This window comes from Homo sapiens, chromosome 4 (assembly GCF_000001405.40).
Source record: "Homo sapiens chromosome 4, GRCh38.p14 Primary Assembly".
In the NCBI taxonomy this organism is placed as follows: Eukaryota; Metazoa; Chordata; class Mammalia; order Primates; family Hominidae; genus Homo; species Homo sapiens.
This window is the reverse complement of record NC_000004.12, coordinates 76,841,224-76,861,898: the sequence shown is the minus strand read 5'-3', so window position 1 is coordinate 76,861,898 and position 20,675 is coordinate 76,841,224. Positions and strand designations below refer to the sequence as shown.

At 39.8% G+C, this 20,675-nt stretch overlaps 1 protein-coding gene across 1 annotated transcript, besides 1 other annotated feature; it reads right to left on the bottom strand.

Annotated features, from left to right (window-relative positions):
- Positions 6,853-6,902: a silencer, noted in NCBI's record as "silent region_15493". NCBI's record gives its function as "represses an Ori minimal core promoter by ATAC-STARR-seq in GM12878 lymphoblastoid cells {active_cell/tissue: GM12878}" and the evidence as "EXISTENCE:reporter gene assay evidence [ECO:0000049][PMID:35858748]".
- Positions 11,232-20,241, bottom strand: LOC124900866 (putative uncharacterized protein encoded by LINC00596). The gene is made up of 3 exons (XM_047416557.1): positions 20,098-20,241; positions 13,633-13,677; positions 11,232-11,297 (listed from the first exon to the last, which is right to left on the bottom strand). The coding sequence occupies exons 1-3, from the start codon at positions 20,239-20,241 to the stop codon at positions 11,232-11,234; spliced, it is 255 nt and encodes an 84-aa protein (XP_047272513.1).
- Between the last annotated feature and the right edge of the window lie 434 nt (positions 20,242-20,675).

Sequence of the window (20,675 nt, the reverse complement as noted above, 5' to 3'; positions counted from 1 at the left end):
ATCCTTTTAAAGTATATGTGTGAGTGGTTTTAGGGCAATCACAAAGTTGTGCAACCATCATCATAATTCAATTTCAGAACACTTTAATCATTCCAAAAAGAATCCCATATCTGTTATTATTCACTCCTATTTCACCCCAAAGCCCCTCTACACTAGGCAATCACTAATGTACTTTCAATCTCTATCATGATTTTCCCTGTTCTAAAAATTTCATATAAATGAAATGATTTCTGGTCTTTTGCATCTGACTTCTTTTACCTAGTATAATGTTTTCAAGGTGCATTCGTATTGGAGCACGTATCAGTACTTCATTTCTTCTTTTTCTTTTCTTTTTTTTTTCCAAGACATGGTCTTACCCTGTTGCCCAGGCTGGAGTGCAGTGGCACGATCATGGCTCACTGCAGGCTTGACCTCCCAGACTCAAGCAATCCTCCCACCTCACCTTCCCAGGTTGCTGGCACTACAGGCATGCTCCACCATGCCAGATAATTTTTGTATTTTTTGTAGAGACAGGTTTTGCTATGTTACCCAGGCTGGTCTCAAAACCCTGAGCTCAGCCATCTACCTGCCTGGCCTCCCAAAGTGCTGGGATTACAGGTGTAAGACACTGTGCCTGGCCTACTTAGTTCCTTTTTATGGTTGAATAATTTTCTACTGTATGGACATATCACATATTGTTTATCTACTCATCAGTTGGTGGACAGTTGGGTTTTTTCCAACTTTTTTGGCTATTATGAATAACATCATTATGAACATTTGTGTACAAGTTTTTGTGTGAACATGTTTTTAATTCTTTTGGGTATATTCCTAAGAGTAGAATTGTTAAGTCACATGGTAACTCTATTTTTAACATTTTTAGGACTCCAAACTGTTTTCCAAAGTGACTGAACCCTCTATGTTTCCATCGGCAGTACATAAGGGTTTCAGTTTCTGCATATCCTGTTTACCAACAGTTGCTATTGTTCATCTTTTTGATGATAGCTATCTTAGTGGGTATAAAGTGGTATTTCATTGTGGTTTTAATTTGCATTTCCCTGATGATTAATAATGTTGAGCATCTTTTCATGTCCTTATTGGCCATTTGTATATATTTGAAAAATATCTATTCAAATACATTGCCTGCTTTAAAATACTGTTATTGGTCTTTTTATCATTGGATTGTATGAGTTCTTTATATATTTTGGATATTAGTCTCTTATCAGATATATTATTTGCAAATATTTTCTCCCATTCTTGGGACGTCTTTCCACTTTCTTTTCTTTTCTTTTCTTTTTTTTTTTTTTTTTTTTTTTGAGACGGAGTCTCGCTCCGTCTCCCAGGCTGGAGTGCAGTGGCAATCTCAGCTCACTGCAAGCTCTGCCTCCCGGGTTCATGCCATTCTCCTGCCTCAGCCTCCCAAGTAGCTGTGAATACAGGCACCTGCCAGCACGCCCGGCTAATTTTTTGTATTTTTAGTACAGACGGGTTTTCACCGGATTAGCCAGGATAGTCTCAATCTCCTGACCTTGTGATCCACCCGCTTCGGCCTCCCAAAGTGCTGGTATTACAGGTGTGAGCCACCATGCCCGGCCTCCACTTTCTTAATAATGTATTTTGAAGCACAAAAGTTTTAAATTTCGATGTTTAATTTCCTTTTTTTTTGGTCAGTATGTTTTTGATGTATTTAAGTATTCACTGCTCATGAAGGGCTACTTCTATGTTTTCTTCTAAGAGTTTCGTAGTTTTAGATCTCACATTTCAATCTTGGATTGTTTTTGTGTTAATTTTTGCATATAGTGTGAGGAAGGGTTTGTAGGGGAGCCAGAGATCTTCTCCAACCCCTTTTGGTTCTTAGCAGTTCTTCAGCTGGGTCTAGAAACAAAATTGACACCAGGCAGATTAACAAGAGAAAAGTATACAAATTTTTATTAGTTTTACGTGTACACGGGTATCTTCACAAGAGAGTGAAGTCTGAAGAAGTGGCCAAAGCAAGCTGATTTTATACTTTTTAGACAAAGAATGATAAATTTGAGAAGAAATGACAGTACAAATATAATTTAGCTCGAGACAGTAAATTTTCCTGGGGAGTCACTAGGAGATATATGGGGTGGGGGCATAATACTAGCAGAAGATAAGGGTTACTTCAGTAAATATGTTTATTCAGGCACATTGCAGGTCCAGTTCCAAGTCTGTGATGGAAGGGCTACTTTCTTACCCTGATAAGGTGAAGGTACCCTTCCCAGAGGAAATGGCTTACTGCATGGAGGAAGAGACAGTCTAGCTAGCCCTTTCTGAAACTGCAATTTCTCCAATGTTTTCAACTTGAAATAATCAATACACCTATCTAGGATATTTTGAGATGACATGTTCTTCACTCCTTCAGGTTCTAACTTCATTCTTTTTATATAGATATTCAGTTGTCCCACTACCTTTTGTTAAAAAGATGATTTTTCCCCATTGAATTGTGTCAACATCCTTGTCAAAATCAACTGACCATTAAGTGTAACAATTTATTTCTGGAACAATAATTCAATTCCATTGATCTATATATCTCTCCTGGTTTTTTTGTTGTTCTTTTTTCTTTTCTCTTTTTTCTTTTTTTTTGAGACAGAGTCTCACTCTGTCACCCAGGCTGGAGTGCAGTGGCGGGATCTCAGCTCACTGCAACCTCCGCTTCCCGGGTTCAAGCAATTCTCCTCTCTCAGCCTCCTGAGTAGCTGGAACTACAGGCACCCACCACTACACCTAGCTAATTTTTGTATCTTTAGTAGAGGCAGGGTTTCACCATGTTGGCCAGGCTGGTATTGAACTCCTGACCTCAAATGATTCAATGATCCACCCACCTCTGCCTCCCAAAGTGCTGGGATTACAGGCGTGAGCCACCGTGCCCAACCAATGTTATCTCTTGTATGCTAGAACCACACTGAATTGATTACTCTACCTGTGTAGTAACTTTTGAAATTGAGAAATGTGAGTTCAATTTTGCTCTTCTTTTTCAAGAATGCTTTGGCTATTCTGGGTGCTTTGCATTTCCATGTAAATTTGTCAATTTCTGCAAACAGGCAAGTGGGATTTTGATAGGGATTGCATTGAATCTGTTGATCCATTTGGGAGAGTATTGCCATCTTGTCCATATTAAACCTTCCAATCCATAAACACACGATGTCTTTCCATTTATTTAAGTCTTCCCTGGGCTCTTGCAGAGCCTTATCATTTGCATCCTTCTAGATTTCTAGAAATATGTGGAAGCTTTGCAAAGCCCCCTATGAATATTTCATTCCCAAGCTTTTCCTTTTAAGTGTTTTTTGGTCCACTTCTTGTTTGTCTCAACTGTTATGGCTGCTTCAAGCAGTTGTAATGTTAAACAATTGCTATTGATTGCTTTTGACAAATGGCCCTCGGGAAAAGGCTGTTCTGAGTCAGGTCAAATAAAGACAAGGCTTTAGAACAGAATTTTCCAGGGAACTGCCAGATTTGTCAAAAAATGACAGCTCTCTGAGAAGAATGTTTTTGGGAGTTCCCAGCCCATTTTGCCCCCTCCAGTGGCTGCTAGGCTGCTGGTTTTCACCATGACTGGGGGTCTGTTTGTTCTCCAGCCTCTGCTGAGCTAAGGAGGAATAGGAATAGGACAAATTAAAATTCCACAAAGTTCACTGTGCTTACTGAGATCACCTTTTTTGTTGTTGTTGTTGTTGTAAATAAATACTTCTCTTTGGTTGATTTCCAGAGTTCTAAAAAAGTTGTATTTGACTATTTTTGGCAGTGTTCCCACTACTTTTATGGAGGAGTTGTATTCAGAGGTCTTTATGGTTTCCATTATCACCTGTTACCCTTTCCATCCACCTCTGTCTTACATTCATTTTTGAGCAAGTCACTTTGTTTCTCTGAGCATCTGTTTCTTTTTGTTTTTTTCTTTTTTTTTTTTTTTTTTTTTTTTTTGAGATGGAGTCCCACTCTGTCACCCAGGCTGCAGTACAGTGGTGCGATCTCGGCTTACTACAACTTCGGCCTCATTGGTTCAAGTGATTCTCCTGCCTCAGCCTCATGAGTAGTTGGGACTACAGGCGCACACCACCATGCCCAGCTAATTTTTGCATTTTTACTAGACACGGAGTTTTGCCATGTTGGCCAGGCTGGTCTTGAACTCCTGACCTCAAGCAATCCACCTGCCTCAGCCCACCCCAAGTGCTGGGATTATAGGCATGAGCCACTGCGCCTGGCCCTGTTTCTTTATTAGGAAAAAAACAGAGATAATCATTCCTCAGAGAATTGTAAAGATCAAATTACACACACACACACACACACACACACACACACACACACACTTCCACTGAAGAAACTACAAAAAAAAATACAAATAGGATTGCAACTGCTGTGCCCACTATTAGAAAGGCTGTAAGTCCCTCTGCATTCTATCTGATGGGAATCCAGTTATGTGAATCCATCTCATTGTTTTTGGATATACAAGCAGTTTATCACTTTAGATAGTATTGATTACTGAAAATCCTCTTACCCTAGAGTCCAAACTGTAGAAAACTGGGAAAGCCCCTTTGTCTCCCTTTGCTGTAGAATGAAGGATAAATCAAGAATTTGAGGCAAAGAGCAGGTAAGTGATTTGTTTAAGGCTATGCAGCTGATAATTTACAGACTCAGTATTGATTCCCCAGCCAGACTGACTTGCTATTTCAGTTATGTCATTTTGTCTCGCAAAAGACCAGAGAGTGGGAATAACAGAGTGCTTTTGGTACAACTTGTTCTTCGTCATTTGTATTATTTTTAGAGACAGTGTGGAAAGATGGGTAATCTGACCCAAAGCCATAAGATACAAATAATATTTTGTTTAGAATTGAAGCGTTATTAGTCTCAGCTTAGTGAAAATAAGCCAGGAACTTACTTATCTTTAAGAAAAAATCCTATTAGTTTATTGTAGATTTCAGACAAGATTGAAGCACCCTTACAAAGCGGATTAGGAAATGTTCCCAGAAATCTATACTACTAAGCTGTTTCCAAGATCAAATTACTTGCTTCCTTTCAATGTATTATTGTTTATTTTATTTCTCAGTTTGCCAAGTATGTCTTAGAGTAAGTTTTTCAGGGATACTACAAAGTTGTAGATTTTCTGGGCCCTTACATAGTTGGAATGTGTTTCTGTTGCCTTCATGCCTGAACCAAGTAGACTCAGCTGGGCATAGACATTTGGGTTACAAACATTTCCCCATTTAAGACACAGACATAGTTCCGTTTGTTAACATAGAGTTGCAACATTTTACAGGTTCCAGAGAAAGGATCTGTATAGATTACAAAAGGACCTCAGGCTGCAGTTTAGGTGTTTTAGATGCTTCTGAGGGCATCCACTAGTGTCTTTTAAAAACCTACTGACTAGTGACTCTGCACTGGAGGGTATGGAAAGAAAGCTGGAAAAAGGATCAGTTTCTATGGCAACTGGATAAAGCCTCTTGAATAAATTGCCCTCCTTTTATTGCAAGTTCAGGTTCAAAGGTCCCCAAAGTACAAAGATCTGAGGTCTAGACTCCTGCCAACAGTGGAAAGGCATGCAGGCTGGGGCCCAGTCAGACTCAGAGGAACATGACAGCCCGAAGTTTATTAACCCTTGCAGTGGACATTCCAAGGCCAATAAATGCCAGAATACTTTAATAAGTCACATCTATTTCTATGACATAATGAGTGCATATTTCTCAGTAGACTGTACTGCAACAATAATAATAGCTAGTGTAAGATAGTAACTGTGATATCATTCCTGTTTTATAGATGAAGGAACAAAGACAAAGAAAGGACAGATCATTTGCCCAGGGTTACACTCTTAGCAAGTGGCGGAGCCTACAATAAAACTGATTGAAGCTGAAATCAAATAATTTGCTTCTCCCCCCACATTATACTGACATGACAACGTGGTACAGCTTCGTCAATGTAAATTTCTTTAAAGTTTTGCTATTGTATTCCCTGTGAAAAAGAGAGTTTGCTGATTCTGACCATAAAGAACATTGTAGAAAATGTTTAGTGGGCACATTCATGAATACACACGTTGATTATTTGGCTTGAGGTAATTGGACAACCCTCTTACCTGGGTTCAACTGCTTTTGCACCTGCTGTTACATCACTTTTTTCTTTCATGACTACTTCACTTATTTGTAAACACAGTTCTTAACATTATATGTACTGTAAGAGAGTTTAGATGAGATAATCACTCAAGTTCCTTCCAACTCTAAAATTCTGTGATTCTGTGTGATTAGTTGTTAAAGAAAGGTGTTATGCCTATTAAAATCATCAAAATAAGCTGAAGTGATAAAAATATATTGCATGTCATGAGAGGAAACAGCTGTACTCATATATTATGTAATTCATTTGTTAAATTTTTTCTTGAGAGCAGTTTGAGTATGTGTATGTGTGTTTGTGTGTGTGTACATGCGTAGCTATAAAAATCTGGCATTTCTGGCAGGGCGCGGTGGCTCACGCCTGTAATCCCAGGACTTTGGGAGGCCGAGGTGGGTGGATCACAAGGTCAGGAGATGAAGACCATCCTGGCTAACACGGTGAAACCCCGTCTTTACTAAAAATACAAAAAAAAAAAATTAGCCGGGTGTGGTGGCGGGCACATGTAGTCCCAGCTACTGGGGAGGCTGAGGCAGGAGAATGACGTGAACCTGGGAGGTGGAGCTTGCAGTCAGCCGAGATCATGCCACTGCACTCCAGCCTTGGCGAAAGAGCGAGACTCCGTCTCTTAAAAAAAAAAAAAAAAAAAAAAATCTGGCATTTCTATTTTTAGGGGCTTATGTCAGTTAGAAACGCTTTTGACCACAAATAACAGAAAACCTGACTTACACTGGCTCAGACATAGAGAGGTTTCTAATTCTGGCCTACCAAGAGGTCAGAGGCCGGCAGTTGCCGAGGTGGGCACAGCAGAACAACTCAGCTCAGGATGGACTTCTAGGATTCTCTTGACCTTTCTAGTTTGGTAACAAGAAGGCCTACCGTAGCAGCTATATTAGGCCATTCTTGCACTGCTTTAAAGAAATACCTGAGACTGGTTAATGTAGAAAGAAAAGACGTTTAATTGGCTCATGGTTCTGCAGGCTGTACAGAAAACATAACGCCAGCAACTGCTTCTGCAGAGGCCTCAGGAAGCTTCCAATCATGGCAGAAGGCAAAGGAGGAGCAGATGTCTAACACGGTGGGAGCAGGAGCAAGAGAGATAACCAGCGAGGTGTCACATGTTTAAACAGCCAGATCTTACGAGAAGTCACTCACTATCTCGAGGACAGCACCAAGGGAATGGTCCTAAGACATTCATGAGAAATCCACCCCCATGATCCAATCACCTCCCACTAGGCCCCACCTACTACATTGGGGATTATATTTCAACATGAGATTTGGGTGGAGCCAATATCCAAACTATATTAGCAGCTATAGAAACTTGTCACCCAGATCTGTTGCTGTGGGGAGCAGAAATGACCTGAGTTCCAGCTGTTGTGATCCACCACGGCCTTCACTCAGGGTTGCTTACAGCCAGTGACTGAACACAGTGGGGGTTACAGTAGAATTCTGTTCTTGCAGGATGCTCTCAGGACATTAGTGGGGCCATTGGCAACATTGAATAAGGTCTTTATATTAAGATATAGTAGTGAATCAATGTTAATTTCTTGATTTTGATAATTAAATTGTGGTTATGTAAGAGAATGTCCTTGTGTTTAGGAAATACGCATAGGAATGTTTAGGGGTTAATAAAGTTACTCTTCTATATAAGATTCTAAGAGTCATATGCTTTTACTTTTCTCGTACAGGTCTTTAAACAGTCTGGCTAAAGACTGTTATGAGTCTAATACCATGTTTTCCCCAAAGTTAACTATTAGGTTGGTGCAAAAGTAATTGCAGTTTTTGCCATTAAAAATAATTAAAAGCAATGGCAAAAACCACAATTACTTTTGCACCAACCTAATAATTGTCCCAGTACCACACACTGAAAAACATCTATCCTTTTCACCTGAAACTAACATGGCTGTACTGAAATAAAATCAAGTCTGTATACGTTTGGGTTTATTTCTGAGTTCCCATTGATTGGTTTGTCCATACCTTTGTCAATACCACTCTGTCCTAATTACTATACGTTTACGATAATTTTTGATACTTTGCAGGTCAAGTCCTATCTTTTTTTCTTCAACATTGTATTTCTCTTTAATAAAGGCTACAAAACATTTTAGATAAAACTTGTCAGGCTCCTGGAAAAAAATTGGAATTTTATTGTAACTGCATGAAATTTATTTATCAATTTGAGATTTTGACATTTTTATGATATTGAATCTTCCAAAAAAGAAATGTTTACAGGTAATGTGATACTATAGATAACTTACTCTCAAATGGTTTAGAACAAAGTATATAGGGAAGTACTAGTGAGACCCCATCTCTACAAAAAATTTTAAAAAGATAAAAAAAGAAATTAGCTGGTTGTGTTGGCATGTGCCCATAGTCACACTTACTTGGGAGGCTGAGGTGGGATGATTGCTTGAGCCTGGAATGTTGAGGCTGCTGTGAGCTGTAACCACACCACTGCACTCCAGCCCAGTGACAGAGCGAGACACTGGCTCAAGAAACAAACAAACAAAGTATATAGGGAGAGGGAGAATGGTAAGGTAAACACGGGAGCTGTTAACATTTGGAGAATTTGGTATACAGAAATTCTCTTTTGTAAATTTTCTATAAATTTGGAATTATTTCAAAATAAATGAAGCATATATTTTAAAAAATACTCTGAGACTCAAACGAGGCCTCAGAATGGCTACAAATTTGTCAGGTTCTATGGCATAATAAAGAGGAAAAATGGTATGTTGTTACTAGCTTACTATATTTTGTATTTTATTTTCTTACCACTTAGAACTTTTCATGCTAAGTTGTCTAATGTCAGCAAGAGCTTGCTGCTCTTCAATGTAAATCTAGAAATAGTAGCAGCTTTTATTTACTTATTTTTATTTATTATTTTTTGAGATGGAGTGTCACTCTGTTGCCCAGGCTGGAGTGCAGTGGCATCATCTCAGGTCACTGCAACCTCTGCCTCTGGGGCCCAAGTGATTCTCCTGCTTCAGCCTCCCGAGTAGCTGGGACTATGGGTGTGGCCACCACGTCCAGCTAATTTTTGTATTTTTTTTAGTAGAGACAGGGCTTTCCATGTTGGCCAGGCTGGTCTTAAACACCTGGCCTCAAATGATCTGGCTGCCTCGGCCTCTCAAACTGCTGAGATTACAGGTGTGAGCCACCATGCCCAGTGAGTAGCAGCTTTTTAATGTCCTATTTTTATAAGGGAAAACCAGCAGGAAGCAGAATTTGGTGGTTCAAGTGTAACTCTGCTGGGGCTGGGGGTTCCTGCACTCACCTGCCACACACTTTTCCCTCTGCTTAGCCTCTGACCCTCTGTGTCTGATCTCTAGGCTCTGAGTACCCAACCTTAGTTTTCGTCCATTGGTCACTTTGCTCTAGTGCTTTGTGTTAGAGCCTTGAAGCTACTCTACATTAAACTTTGGTTAAGGTTTTCTCTGCCCACAGTATCTCATTTCCTTAAATTATATCCCTTGCCTGACCCTGAACCTTAGAACCAACCACTCTCCCCTGTCCCTTGACTCAGCCAGCTACAAGCCATACTTCCCTCTTCTCCCTCAACTGGTCAGAGAGAAAACAAAACCCATTTATTCATCCCATTGACAAATATTTATTAACGGTCTGCTAACTACCAGACAACTTTTTAGACCCAGGGAATAAAATAGACAAAACTTTACCCTCATATGGAGCCTACGTTCTACTAGAGGGAGATAGAAAACAAAATAAATTGGCCAATATGTAATTTGATAGATGGCAATAGATTGTTATTAAGAAAAATAAAGGTTGTCTTATGCAGCCTGTGGGTCTAGACTCAAAAAGCAGTGACTGGGAATAACAGAATCTACTGAGCCATAATCTCTCTGTTGTGGATCCAGGTAACTGGTATGGTCACAAAGTTTGAGAATTGCTGCTCTTTTCCATACCTGGGATTTCCCAGTGCTTTTATAAAAAAGCCACCTGTTTACCAAACTTCCCTGACGATAAGATGCAAGAAGTACAGGTTCATTGTGAATTCTGAGAGGTGACCAAAGAACACTTTTCTTAATGGAGAATCAAACGCCTATGGCACTAAATCAGGCTAGTGCAAATCAATTCAGTTCTTTCTAGGAAGGAGAATAAGCAAAGTGTAATTGGACCTTCTTGGAAAATAAGCAGTGTGATCTGATAGTAAAGATAAGCTCCCACTGAGAAATAGCATCTTGATTTCAGGCTGATGTGACATTAATGAGGAAATTTCAGAGACTGGAACCTCTGGGGCATAATTTGTTGTCTTCACCAAGTTTCAGTCCAAGCTGCAGTTTACAAAGGCATTTACAATGTCATGTGGTTGAGAGGGCTGTGGCTTTCACTGGTTCAGTTATGCACTCAGCGTGAGATTTGGGCTAGTAGCACTTGGTGGAGTTTTGACCCACCCTGAAAGTTGATGAGGATTAGAAGTTGAGGCTGGGCACAGTGGTTCACGCCTATAATCCCAGCACTTTGGGAGGCCGAGGCGGGCGGATCACCTGAGGCTGGGAATTCAAGACCAGCCTGGCCAACATGGCGAAACCCCATCTCTATTAAGTAAAGTACAAAAATTAGCTGGATGTGGTGGCGGGTGCCTGTAGACCCAGCTACTTGGGAGGCTGAGGCAGGAGAATCACTTGAACCCAGGAGGTGGAGGTTGCAGTGAGCCCAGATTGTAGCACTGCACTCCAGCCTGGGTGACAAGAGCAAGACTCCATCTCAAAAAAACAAAAACAAAAACAAAAAAAAGTTGATGATGGGCTGCCATCATGAGGAGCTGAGGGAAAGAAAGGGAAGCTTCCCTGTCTGCGCCCCTCCTGTCTCACTTTTACCCCAGCCACAGTTCCTAAATATCCCAGAGTTGCCCTTAAGCTTGCTGAAGGCCTGCATTGTGCTCTGCCTCCCCCCATAGCAGAGGTAGCAGAGCCTGCTCCAAAATTGTTCTGAGCCCACTACTTACCTTTCATTTATTTTTTCAAAAAAAAATCTGTTCTTTGATGGTAGGGAATCTCAGAATCAAAACACTTTGATGATAGAAAAAAACAAAAGAAAAGAGAAAAATCATCTAATAAAACCATCTTGGCCAGGTGTGCTGGCTCACATCTGTAATCCCAACATTTTGGGAGGCCAAGGCAGGCAGATCATCTGAGGCCAGGGGTTCTAGACCAGCCTGGCCAACATGGCGAAACACCATCTCCACTAAAAATACAAAAAATTAGCTGGGTGTGGTGGCAGACACCTGTAATCCCAGTTACTTGGGAGGCTGAGGCAGGAGACTCTCTTAAACCTGGGAGGCAGAGGTTGCAGTGAGCCGAGATCGCGCCATTGCACTCCAGCCTGGGCAACAATGGAGTTCCCATCTCCAGAAAAAATTTAAAAAAAACCATCTCATCTTGGCCATTCTCAAAGTTGAGTGTACATATTAATTGTCTGGGGAATAAAACGGTGATTCCTGGGCTTCAGGCCAGGTCTACTTAGTCATAATCTCTCTGTGGTAGATCCAAGTAACTGGTATGTTCATAAAGTTCAAGAACCACTGCTCTTTTCCATACCTGGGATTTCCCAATGCCTTTATAAAAAAGCCACCTGTTTACCAAACTTCCCTGATGATAAGACACATCTGGGGCCTTGTTAAACAAACAGATTCACAGGCCTCTTCAAATACCTGAATAAATTCCAAGACAGAAGCCTGCGTATCCGTTCTTTGATCAGCCCCTTGTATGTTTTATTTTTAATCATCAGAGAAGTCTGAGCTTGCTGCTCTGGAGGACTGCCTATCGGTATATTTAACAATAGGAAGCCACCGTTAGACTCACAGAAAATATGCCATAGATCAATCATGGACTGTCTACCCTTAGATTAAGTATCCTGTTTCAGTTCAATCTGCTGTAGCCAGTTAGGATAGGGTTACATGGTATAGAATATGACCATCCATACCATTTTTCTCCTGGGAAAAAAATGGCAGTTCTGGAATTATAACAACAAAAAGCAAAGATGTAACCTAATTCCTAAGTAAAGGCTTGAGTGGTTTTCAATTTATTGCAAGAAAAATTGGCAATTCTAATATGAATAAAACAAGACGACAGGATGTGAAATAAGGGGAGTATAAGATGAAAACTTATACTACAAATACATGTTACATTCTGGGTTTTTAGCGGTTGTCTTTGTGTTCACCTTTACTTGAGCTATCTTGAGTGGATCTTTGATCTTTACAATCCATGAAGCTCTGCCTGTCGAACAATTGCTGAGAATTAAAGTGTCTTAGACTGTTTTAGCTGCTATAATAAAATACCATAAACTAGGTGGCTTATAAGCAACAGAAACTTATTTCTCATAGCTCTCGGGGCTGGGAAGTCTACAATCAAACTGGATCTGGACAATAAAGGGACAGGGAAGACTGCAGGAATCTTGTCTAAAGCATGGGGCTAGAGCATCTGAATTTCAATACATAAGCTTACATTACTCACTAGAAAGTAAGCTTCACAAGAACAGAATTTTTGTCTTTTTTTGTGCATGGATTTATCCCACAAGTAAGAAAAAATGCCTGACACATTGCACCAGGAGATTCGGGCCAGAGGACCTGCTTTCTGGTTCATAGACGATGCCTTCTAGCTTGGTCTTCACATGGAAGGAGTGAACAAGCTCTTTTGGGCCTATTGTGTAAGGGCATTAGTCCCATTCAGGAAGGTGGAGCCCTCATGACCTAAACATATCTCCAAAAGTTCCACCTCCTAATACCATCACCACGGGGGTTAGGATTTCAACTATATGAACTTTGAGGGAACATAAACATTCAAACCATAGCACAAAGGAAATGGATATATTATAGAAGCATTGATTTCACATTGCTTTCCTCATAACATTTCTAAAAATATTTTGATGAGGTGATAATCTCTGAATTTGAATGTTGAGCCCACTTATATCCAGTGACTACCTGGTATTTTGCAGAGGTGTTGCCAGGCATGTCATGTGCTTCTCTAGACCAGAGATTCTCCTACTTTTTAGTTTTAGGATCTTTTTTCCTATTAAAAAATATTGAAAATTTCAAAGTGCTTTTGTTATGTGGGTTATATTTATTGATATCCACTGTATTAGAAACTAAAATAGATACATCTTTAATTTATTCATTCATTTAAAAGTAACAGTCAATATATATGTTAATATAAATTTTTTTAAAAAAGTTAGCAATAGGACAGTCAATGTCTTACATTTTTGCAAATATCTTTAATGTCTGGCCTATTAAAGACAGCTGGATTCTCATATCTGCTTCTGTTTTTGTTCAGCTGCAACATCACATGTCATGTGGCACCTAGAAAACTCCACAGCACCCTCAAGAGAGAATGAGAGTGGGAAAGCCCTCATCGACTACCTCAAAGGGTTTTGGAGATTCCCTGGTGTCCCCAAACCATACTTTAAGAACTGCCACACTAGATATTACAGTTAAATAGGAATATACCCCAGTCCTTGGAAAACATAAATTATTTTTTCTTCTTGAATGTAAACATTCCGTTACAATATCCTGTTAATGTCCAGTTTCCTAACCTTCTCCGTCCCCTCATTGAATTCATTGTCCACTTCTATCAGCATCTAAAAATAATGAGATAACATTTCTTGAGCAGTTTCTGTATGCCAGGCTCTAGACTAAGCATTCTAAGTGCACTATCACTTTTAATCTTTATACCGACTCTAGGAGCCAGGCTGTATTGTTATCTATATTTTATTGATGAGGAAAATGAGGTGTGGAGAAAGGAGTAATATGCCCAAATTATAGAGCAAGTAACTTAAGAAACTGGGAATCAAATCTAGGACCATCTGACTCTAGACTTCATGCTTTTAATTATTTGCCCATTTCAAACTCAAATATAATTTTGAAACAAAATTTCTCCTTTTATACATTCCATGTGTGTTTTAAATTGTTCTCAGTTTTTGGAAATTCAATCCAGAAGGTTATGTGTCTATTGGGAACCCTACATTTGCAGTTGTCTCTTTTCTTTTGTGTTGTTCTGGAATGACTTCAGAAAGCTTTGAGGCTTTGGCTACATGTTGGTTTTTGGGAGTCATGGTCCCTTGAGTTTTTGTTTTTGTCACTGCTCTTCTATCCATTTTGTGGTGGGTTGAAAAGTGTCATCCAAAAATTTGTGTCATAGTCTCATGTCCTGGAACTTCAAGATATGACCTTGTTTGGAAACAGGGTCTTTGCAGATGTAATTTAAGATAAGGCTCAAAATGGGATCACACTGGATTAGGGTGGGCCCTAAGCCCAATGAGAGTGTCCTGACACAGAGAGACATAGGGAAGAAGGTCGTTGGAAGACAGAGACAGAGATTGGAGTTATGCTGCCACAAGCCAAGGAATGCCAGCAGCCACCAAAATCTAGAAGAGGGAAGAAAGGATTCTCCTCTAGAGACTTTGGAGGGAGTGTGGCTCTCCTTGACACTTGTGGCTCCAGAACTGTGAGAGAAATAAATTCCTGTTGTCTTAAGCCACTCAGTTTGTAGTAATTTGTTATTGCAGCCCTAGGGAACACCATCAACACCATTCAAGACCTGGACCCAAATTCACCTCCTTTCCAATACCTTCCCTCATCAGCTGAGACAGAGTTCCTGCTGTCTACACCAATGCTCCAAAACCTAATAAAGACTTAAGTTTTTATTGTGCACATATCATCTTCTCCAGAAGGAAAGTTTTTTTTTTTAATCATTCCTTGAGCCTATGCTTAGCTCCTAGTCCAGTGATACACAGTAGTGCCCTCCTAACCACCGTTTTCCTTTTTTGTGCTTTCAGTTACCTGTGATCAACAGTGGTCTGCAAATATTAAATGGAAAGGAAGAGAAATAAACAATCCCTATGTTTTAAATTGCTCACTGTTCTGAGTAGTGTGATGAAAGCTTTGCTGTCCAGCTCCATCTCCATCCTGTCAGGGATGTGCATCAGCCCTTTGTCCAGCGTATCGAGGATATAGATGCTACCCACCTGTTAGTCACTAGCCATCTCGGTTATCAGATTGACTGCCAAGGTATTGCAGTGCTTGTGCTCAAGTTACCATTATTTTATTTAATAATGGCTCCAAAGCATAAGAGTAGTGATGTTGACATATTATTATAATTGTTCTCTTCTATTATTAGTTATTGTTGTTAATCTCTTACTATGCCTAATTTATAACTTAAACTTGATTATACATATGTATGTATAGGAATAAACATAGTATATATAGGGTTCAGAACTATCCATGGTTTTGGATATCCACGGGGGGGAGGTTGGAACGTAAGCCTGGTGGATAAGGGGGACTACTGTACATATATTAAGTATCTAATACGTAAGTGTTGAGTATATGGTTTTCCTAATTCGTCCTTTCCATTCAATGAATAAATTCAGAAGGTTAATTAATCCAAATATTTATAGAATGCCTGCAATGTGTCAGGCATTTTTTTTTTTTACCTGTGGGATAAATCCATACACAAAAAAGAAAAAAATTCTGTGCTTATGAAGCTTACTTTCTAGTGAGTAATGTAAGCTCATGTATTGAAATTCAGATGCTCCAGCCCCATGCTTTAGACAAGGTTCCTGCAGTCTTCCCTATCGCTTTATTATCCAGACCCCAGTTTTCAAGGCTAGGACTATTCTTGGCATCCTTACAGATCTTCCTCTTGATTGTCAAGGCTTGGGGAGTAGAGGAGGGAGTGAAATGACTTGAGAGGCATCTCAGTTCTCTCAGAATTGTTCTCTCATAAGCCATCCTGTGCCCTGAACTTCTTTCTGCCCAGTTACACGTTTGTTAGCTGTTTTGGAGCCAACTTCTGGAGACAGTATTTGCAAGTCTGCATGCAGGCCGAGAAAACGGAAAGGCACATGCCTTCCTGGCATAGCATTAGCCAGAACTCAGTGCTTTGGTCTAGTCCCAGAGAGGTGGCTGGTGCCACCTTTGCCAGGACCTGTGGCTGATCAGCTGCTCCCTATTGTTGCCACAATAAAGGATTCTGGCTTTTCTAAGGAGAGAGAGATGCCAGATCCCAGGCCCACATGTTTGGGATAGGTGGTAGTGTGTATTTTGATAGGGGATGTGTGTAGAACAAAGAATGTGTTCTCTAGTCTCATTTTGACTTTCAGCCCCCAGTAAACCTTATTGCTATGAGAGCCAGTCTCTCTGTAGCTAATTTGAGGCATGAAGGTGGCTGGTGGTGGAGGAAGAATGCCAGTGTATCATTCAGACTGTCCAATAGGCAAACACATGTTTGAAGAATAATCCTCAGTTGTTTGGGAGTGTGGTAAAATGGCACTCTCCTACACTGTTATGGGAGGAGATAAAGCAAATTGATACAAACTTGCTAGTGAGCGTTTTGGCAACATGTATCAAAAGCCTTAAAATGTTCATCCTCTTTAATCAGGTAATTCTGTTTCCAGGAATTTATCCTGAGGATATAATTTTGTATTTGCACAAGGACTTATTCAGAAAGAGCTTTTTACAGGGTTATTCACAATAACAAAAGACAATGCAAATGTTCATCAATGCAGAATTGGTTAAATTATCAGTGCTACATCTATGCATGAAAATATGAGACAACCATTAAAAATTATATTCAAAGATTAGAAAATGTTAATAATTTTTAAGTAATGAATGCATGAAGGTTCATTATGATATTCTCTTTCCTTGTAGTATGGTTGAAATTTTCCGCCATAAAAACTAAAAAACTCTTGTTCTCAAAGAATGTTTATATCTAACGGAAAATTTTATAAGGCAAATGTTTATAAGGCTTTATTAAGTGGTAAATGCAGGTTATAAAACAGTATGGATAAATGTATGATAGAATTCCATAGGATCCTAACTTTGTAATACAGATAAAAAACTCTGACACACACATATATACACTCATACATATATATTCGCACATATGTAATAATATCTTTATGTTGCTTATATGGTTTATTAGGGTTCTCTAGAGGGACAGAACTAATGGGATATCTATATATCTATATATCTATATATATCTATAGATATATATAGCTATATATATCTATATATATATCTATAGATATATATAGCTATATATATCTATAGATATCTATATATATCTATATATATTATATATAGATATAATCATGCATTACTTTTATAATCAGCAAAAATAATCGTTGAATATTAAATGGGAAGGTAATCTTTTTAACGAAGGGGAAGAATCAGATAGGTCTGGATCCTGGCTCATGACTTACCAGCTCTGTGACTTGGTATAGATATAGATATAGATATCGATATCGATATCTATAGATATATATATATGGAAGTTTATTAAGTAGTATTAACTAACACGATCACAAGGTCCCACAACAGGCTGTCTGCAAGTTGAGGAGCAAGGAAGCCAGTCTGAGCCTTTCCAAAGCTGAAGAACTTGGAGTCTGATGTTCAAGGGTAGGAAGCATCCAGCACGGGAGAAAGATGTAGGCTGAGAGGCTAAGCCAGTTTAGCCTTTTCACATTTTTCTGCCTACTTTATATTCTGGCCTCACTGACAGCTGATTAGATGGTGCCCATCCAGGTTAAGGGTGGGTCTGCCTTTCCCAGCCCACTGACACAAATGTTAATCTCCTTTAGCAGTACCCTCATGGACACACCCAAGATCAATATTTTGCACCCTTCATTCCAATCAAGTTGACGCTCAGTATTAGCCTTCACATATGTGTATATATGAGACATATATATGTATATATAACTTGAATAGAAAGATATGTTAGCAGGTCTATCCCTGGGTAGTGCAACTATGGGAATTTTAGATTTTCTTTTTATAAATCTTTATATTTTCAAAGATTTATTTAATAATCATGCATTACTTTTATAATCAGCAAAAATAATCGTTGAATATTAAATGGGAAGGTAATCTTTTTAACGAAGGGGAAGAATCAGATAGGTCTGGCTCCTGGCTCATGACTTACCAGCTCTGTGACTTGGGGCAAGTTTCTTAACCTTCATAACTCTCAGTTTATGTGTCTATAATAAGAAAAAAAGTACTGCAAATTTGTGGGGTTTATATGAAGTTTAGATAAAACAATGCAAATAAAGCTTTTAACATTGTATCTAATAGAGATAAAGGCTCAAAAAAATTTAATAAAACTTCAGTCTGACTCTGCTGTGATCATGATAGCATGACTGGTAGTTCATTAGCCTTCCAGCAATAAAAACAAATTAGAAAACTAGACAAAATATATGAAACAACTATCTTCAGACATCGGACAACAGGCATGCAGAATTTTGATTACTGAGAGAAGGAAAACAAATTCAGTGAGCCCTCCAGCTTCCCTGGCTTTCTGGACTACAGTACAAGAAAAGGGATTACTAACAGAGTATGATAGCCTCGCTGAAATGAGGAGACACAGATCAGACTTTGGGGAGGTCAAGACAACAATAATTTATAAGGCAAGTTATCAGAGAGAAAGAGTATGCAGGCCAGGTGTGGTGGCTCATGCCTGTAATCCTAGCAGTTTGGGAGGCCGAGGAGGGCAGATCACCTGAGGTCAGGAGTTTGAGACCAGTCTGGCCCATATGGCAAAACCCCGTCTCTACTAAAAATACAAAAACAAAACAAAACAAAACAAATTAGCCAGGTGTGGTGGTGCGTGCCACCCAGCTACTCGGGAGGCTGAGGCAGGAGAATCACTTGAACCCGGGAGGCGGAGGTTGCAGTGAGCCGAGATCAGGCCACTGCACTCCAGCCTGGGCAACAGAGCGAGACTCTGTCTCAAAACCAAACAAACAAACACATAAAAACATTAGCCAGGCATGGTGTCAGCTGCCTGTAATCCCAGCTACTCGGGAGTGAGCCGAGATAGTGCCACTGCACTCCAGTCTGGGTGACAGAGCGAGACTCCATCTTAAAAAAAAAAAAATAAAAGGATCCAGAGAAGGGATTGCATAAGTATTCATAGGTGTCATTTTGAGTCTCTAGCCAAATACCAGACTGCATATGCGTAAGGTGAGACTCCGTACGTTGGGCACATAAAACAATTATCAGGGAAAGAAAAACTACCAGGGAACTGCAAACTGAATAATAATTGGAACTTACAGAAAGTTGAGAGACACTCAGTAGGGCCCAGAAAAGGCCACCCCCTAGGGGTAAGGCCAGAGTGGTCATAAAATAGAGGGTACTTTAGGCCCTCCCAAACAAAGCTTAAAAATAAGCCTCAAAAAGACTAAGCTAGGCTGGGCATGGTTGGTCATGTCTATAATCCCAACATTTTGGGAGGCTGGGGCAGGATGATCACTTGAGCCCAGGGGTTCAAGACCACCCTGAGCAACATGGTGAGACTCTCATCTCTACAAAAAATTTAAAAAATTAGCCAGGTGTGGTGGCATATGCCTATGGTTGCAGCTACTTGGGAGACTGCTTGAGCCCAGGAGACTGAGGCTATGACCACAACACTGTACTCTAGCCTGGGTGAGAGAGCTAGATACTGTCTCACACACAAAAAAAAAAAAAAAAAAAAAAAAAGACTAAGCTGATTCCCAACCAAGTTGACTGCCTGCAAGAATCAAGTACAACAAGGCCGGGCATGGTGGCTCACACCTGTAATCCCAGTGCTTTGGGAGGTCAAGGCAGATGGATCATTTGAGATCAGGAGTTCGAGACCAGCCTGGCCAAAGTGGTGAAACCCCGCCTCTACTATAAATAAATAAATAAATAAATAAAATTAGCTGGGTGTGGTGGTGCATGCCTGTAACCCCAGCTACTCAGGAGGCTGAGGCAGGATAATTGATTGAACCTGGAAGACGGAGGTTGCAGTGAGCTGAGATCATGCCACTGCCCTCCAGCCTGGGCAACAGAGTGAGACTCCATCTCAACAACAACAAAAAAAGAATAAAATGTTACAGTTTTTAAACATAAAAGGCCGAGCATGGTGGCTCATGTCTGTAATCCCAGCACTTTGGGAGGCCGAGGCGGGTGGACCACTTAAGATCAAGAGTTCAAGACCAGCCTGGTCAACATGGTGAAACCCTGTCTCTACTAAAAATGCAAAAATTAACTGGGCATGGTGGTGCATGCCTATAATCCCAGCTACTTAGGAGGCTGAGGCAGGAGAATTGCTTGAACCCTGGAGGCGGAAGTAGCAGTGAGCCAAGATCGTGCCACTGCACTTTAGCCTGGGCGACAGAGTGAGACTCCATCTCAAAAAAAGAAAAGGAAAAACATAACATTCACAATGTGAAAATCCAATAAAAACATTACTAGACATGAAAGAAAACATGAAAATGTGATCCTTAACCAGAAGAAAACCAATGAATAGAAATGGGCCCAGAAATGATATAAACAATGAAATTAGCAGCCAAGAACTTTAAGAGAATTATATTGTGAATATGTTAAGGAATTAACATATAGTGAGGATACAAGTATTAAAAAATAATACCAATGGAGCTGGGTTCAATAACATATGTATAAGTAAAAGGTATGACAAAGGCAGAGTAGGGAAATCAGATTGTTATAAAGGTCTAATATGATATATGCAGCAGTACAATTTTATTTGAAGGTAGACTGTGATAAGATAAGGATGCATATTGTAAACCCTAGAGCAATCACCATAAAAATAGACTAAAGATGTATA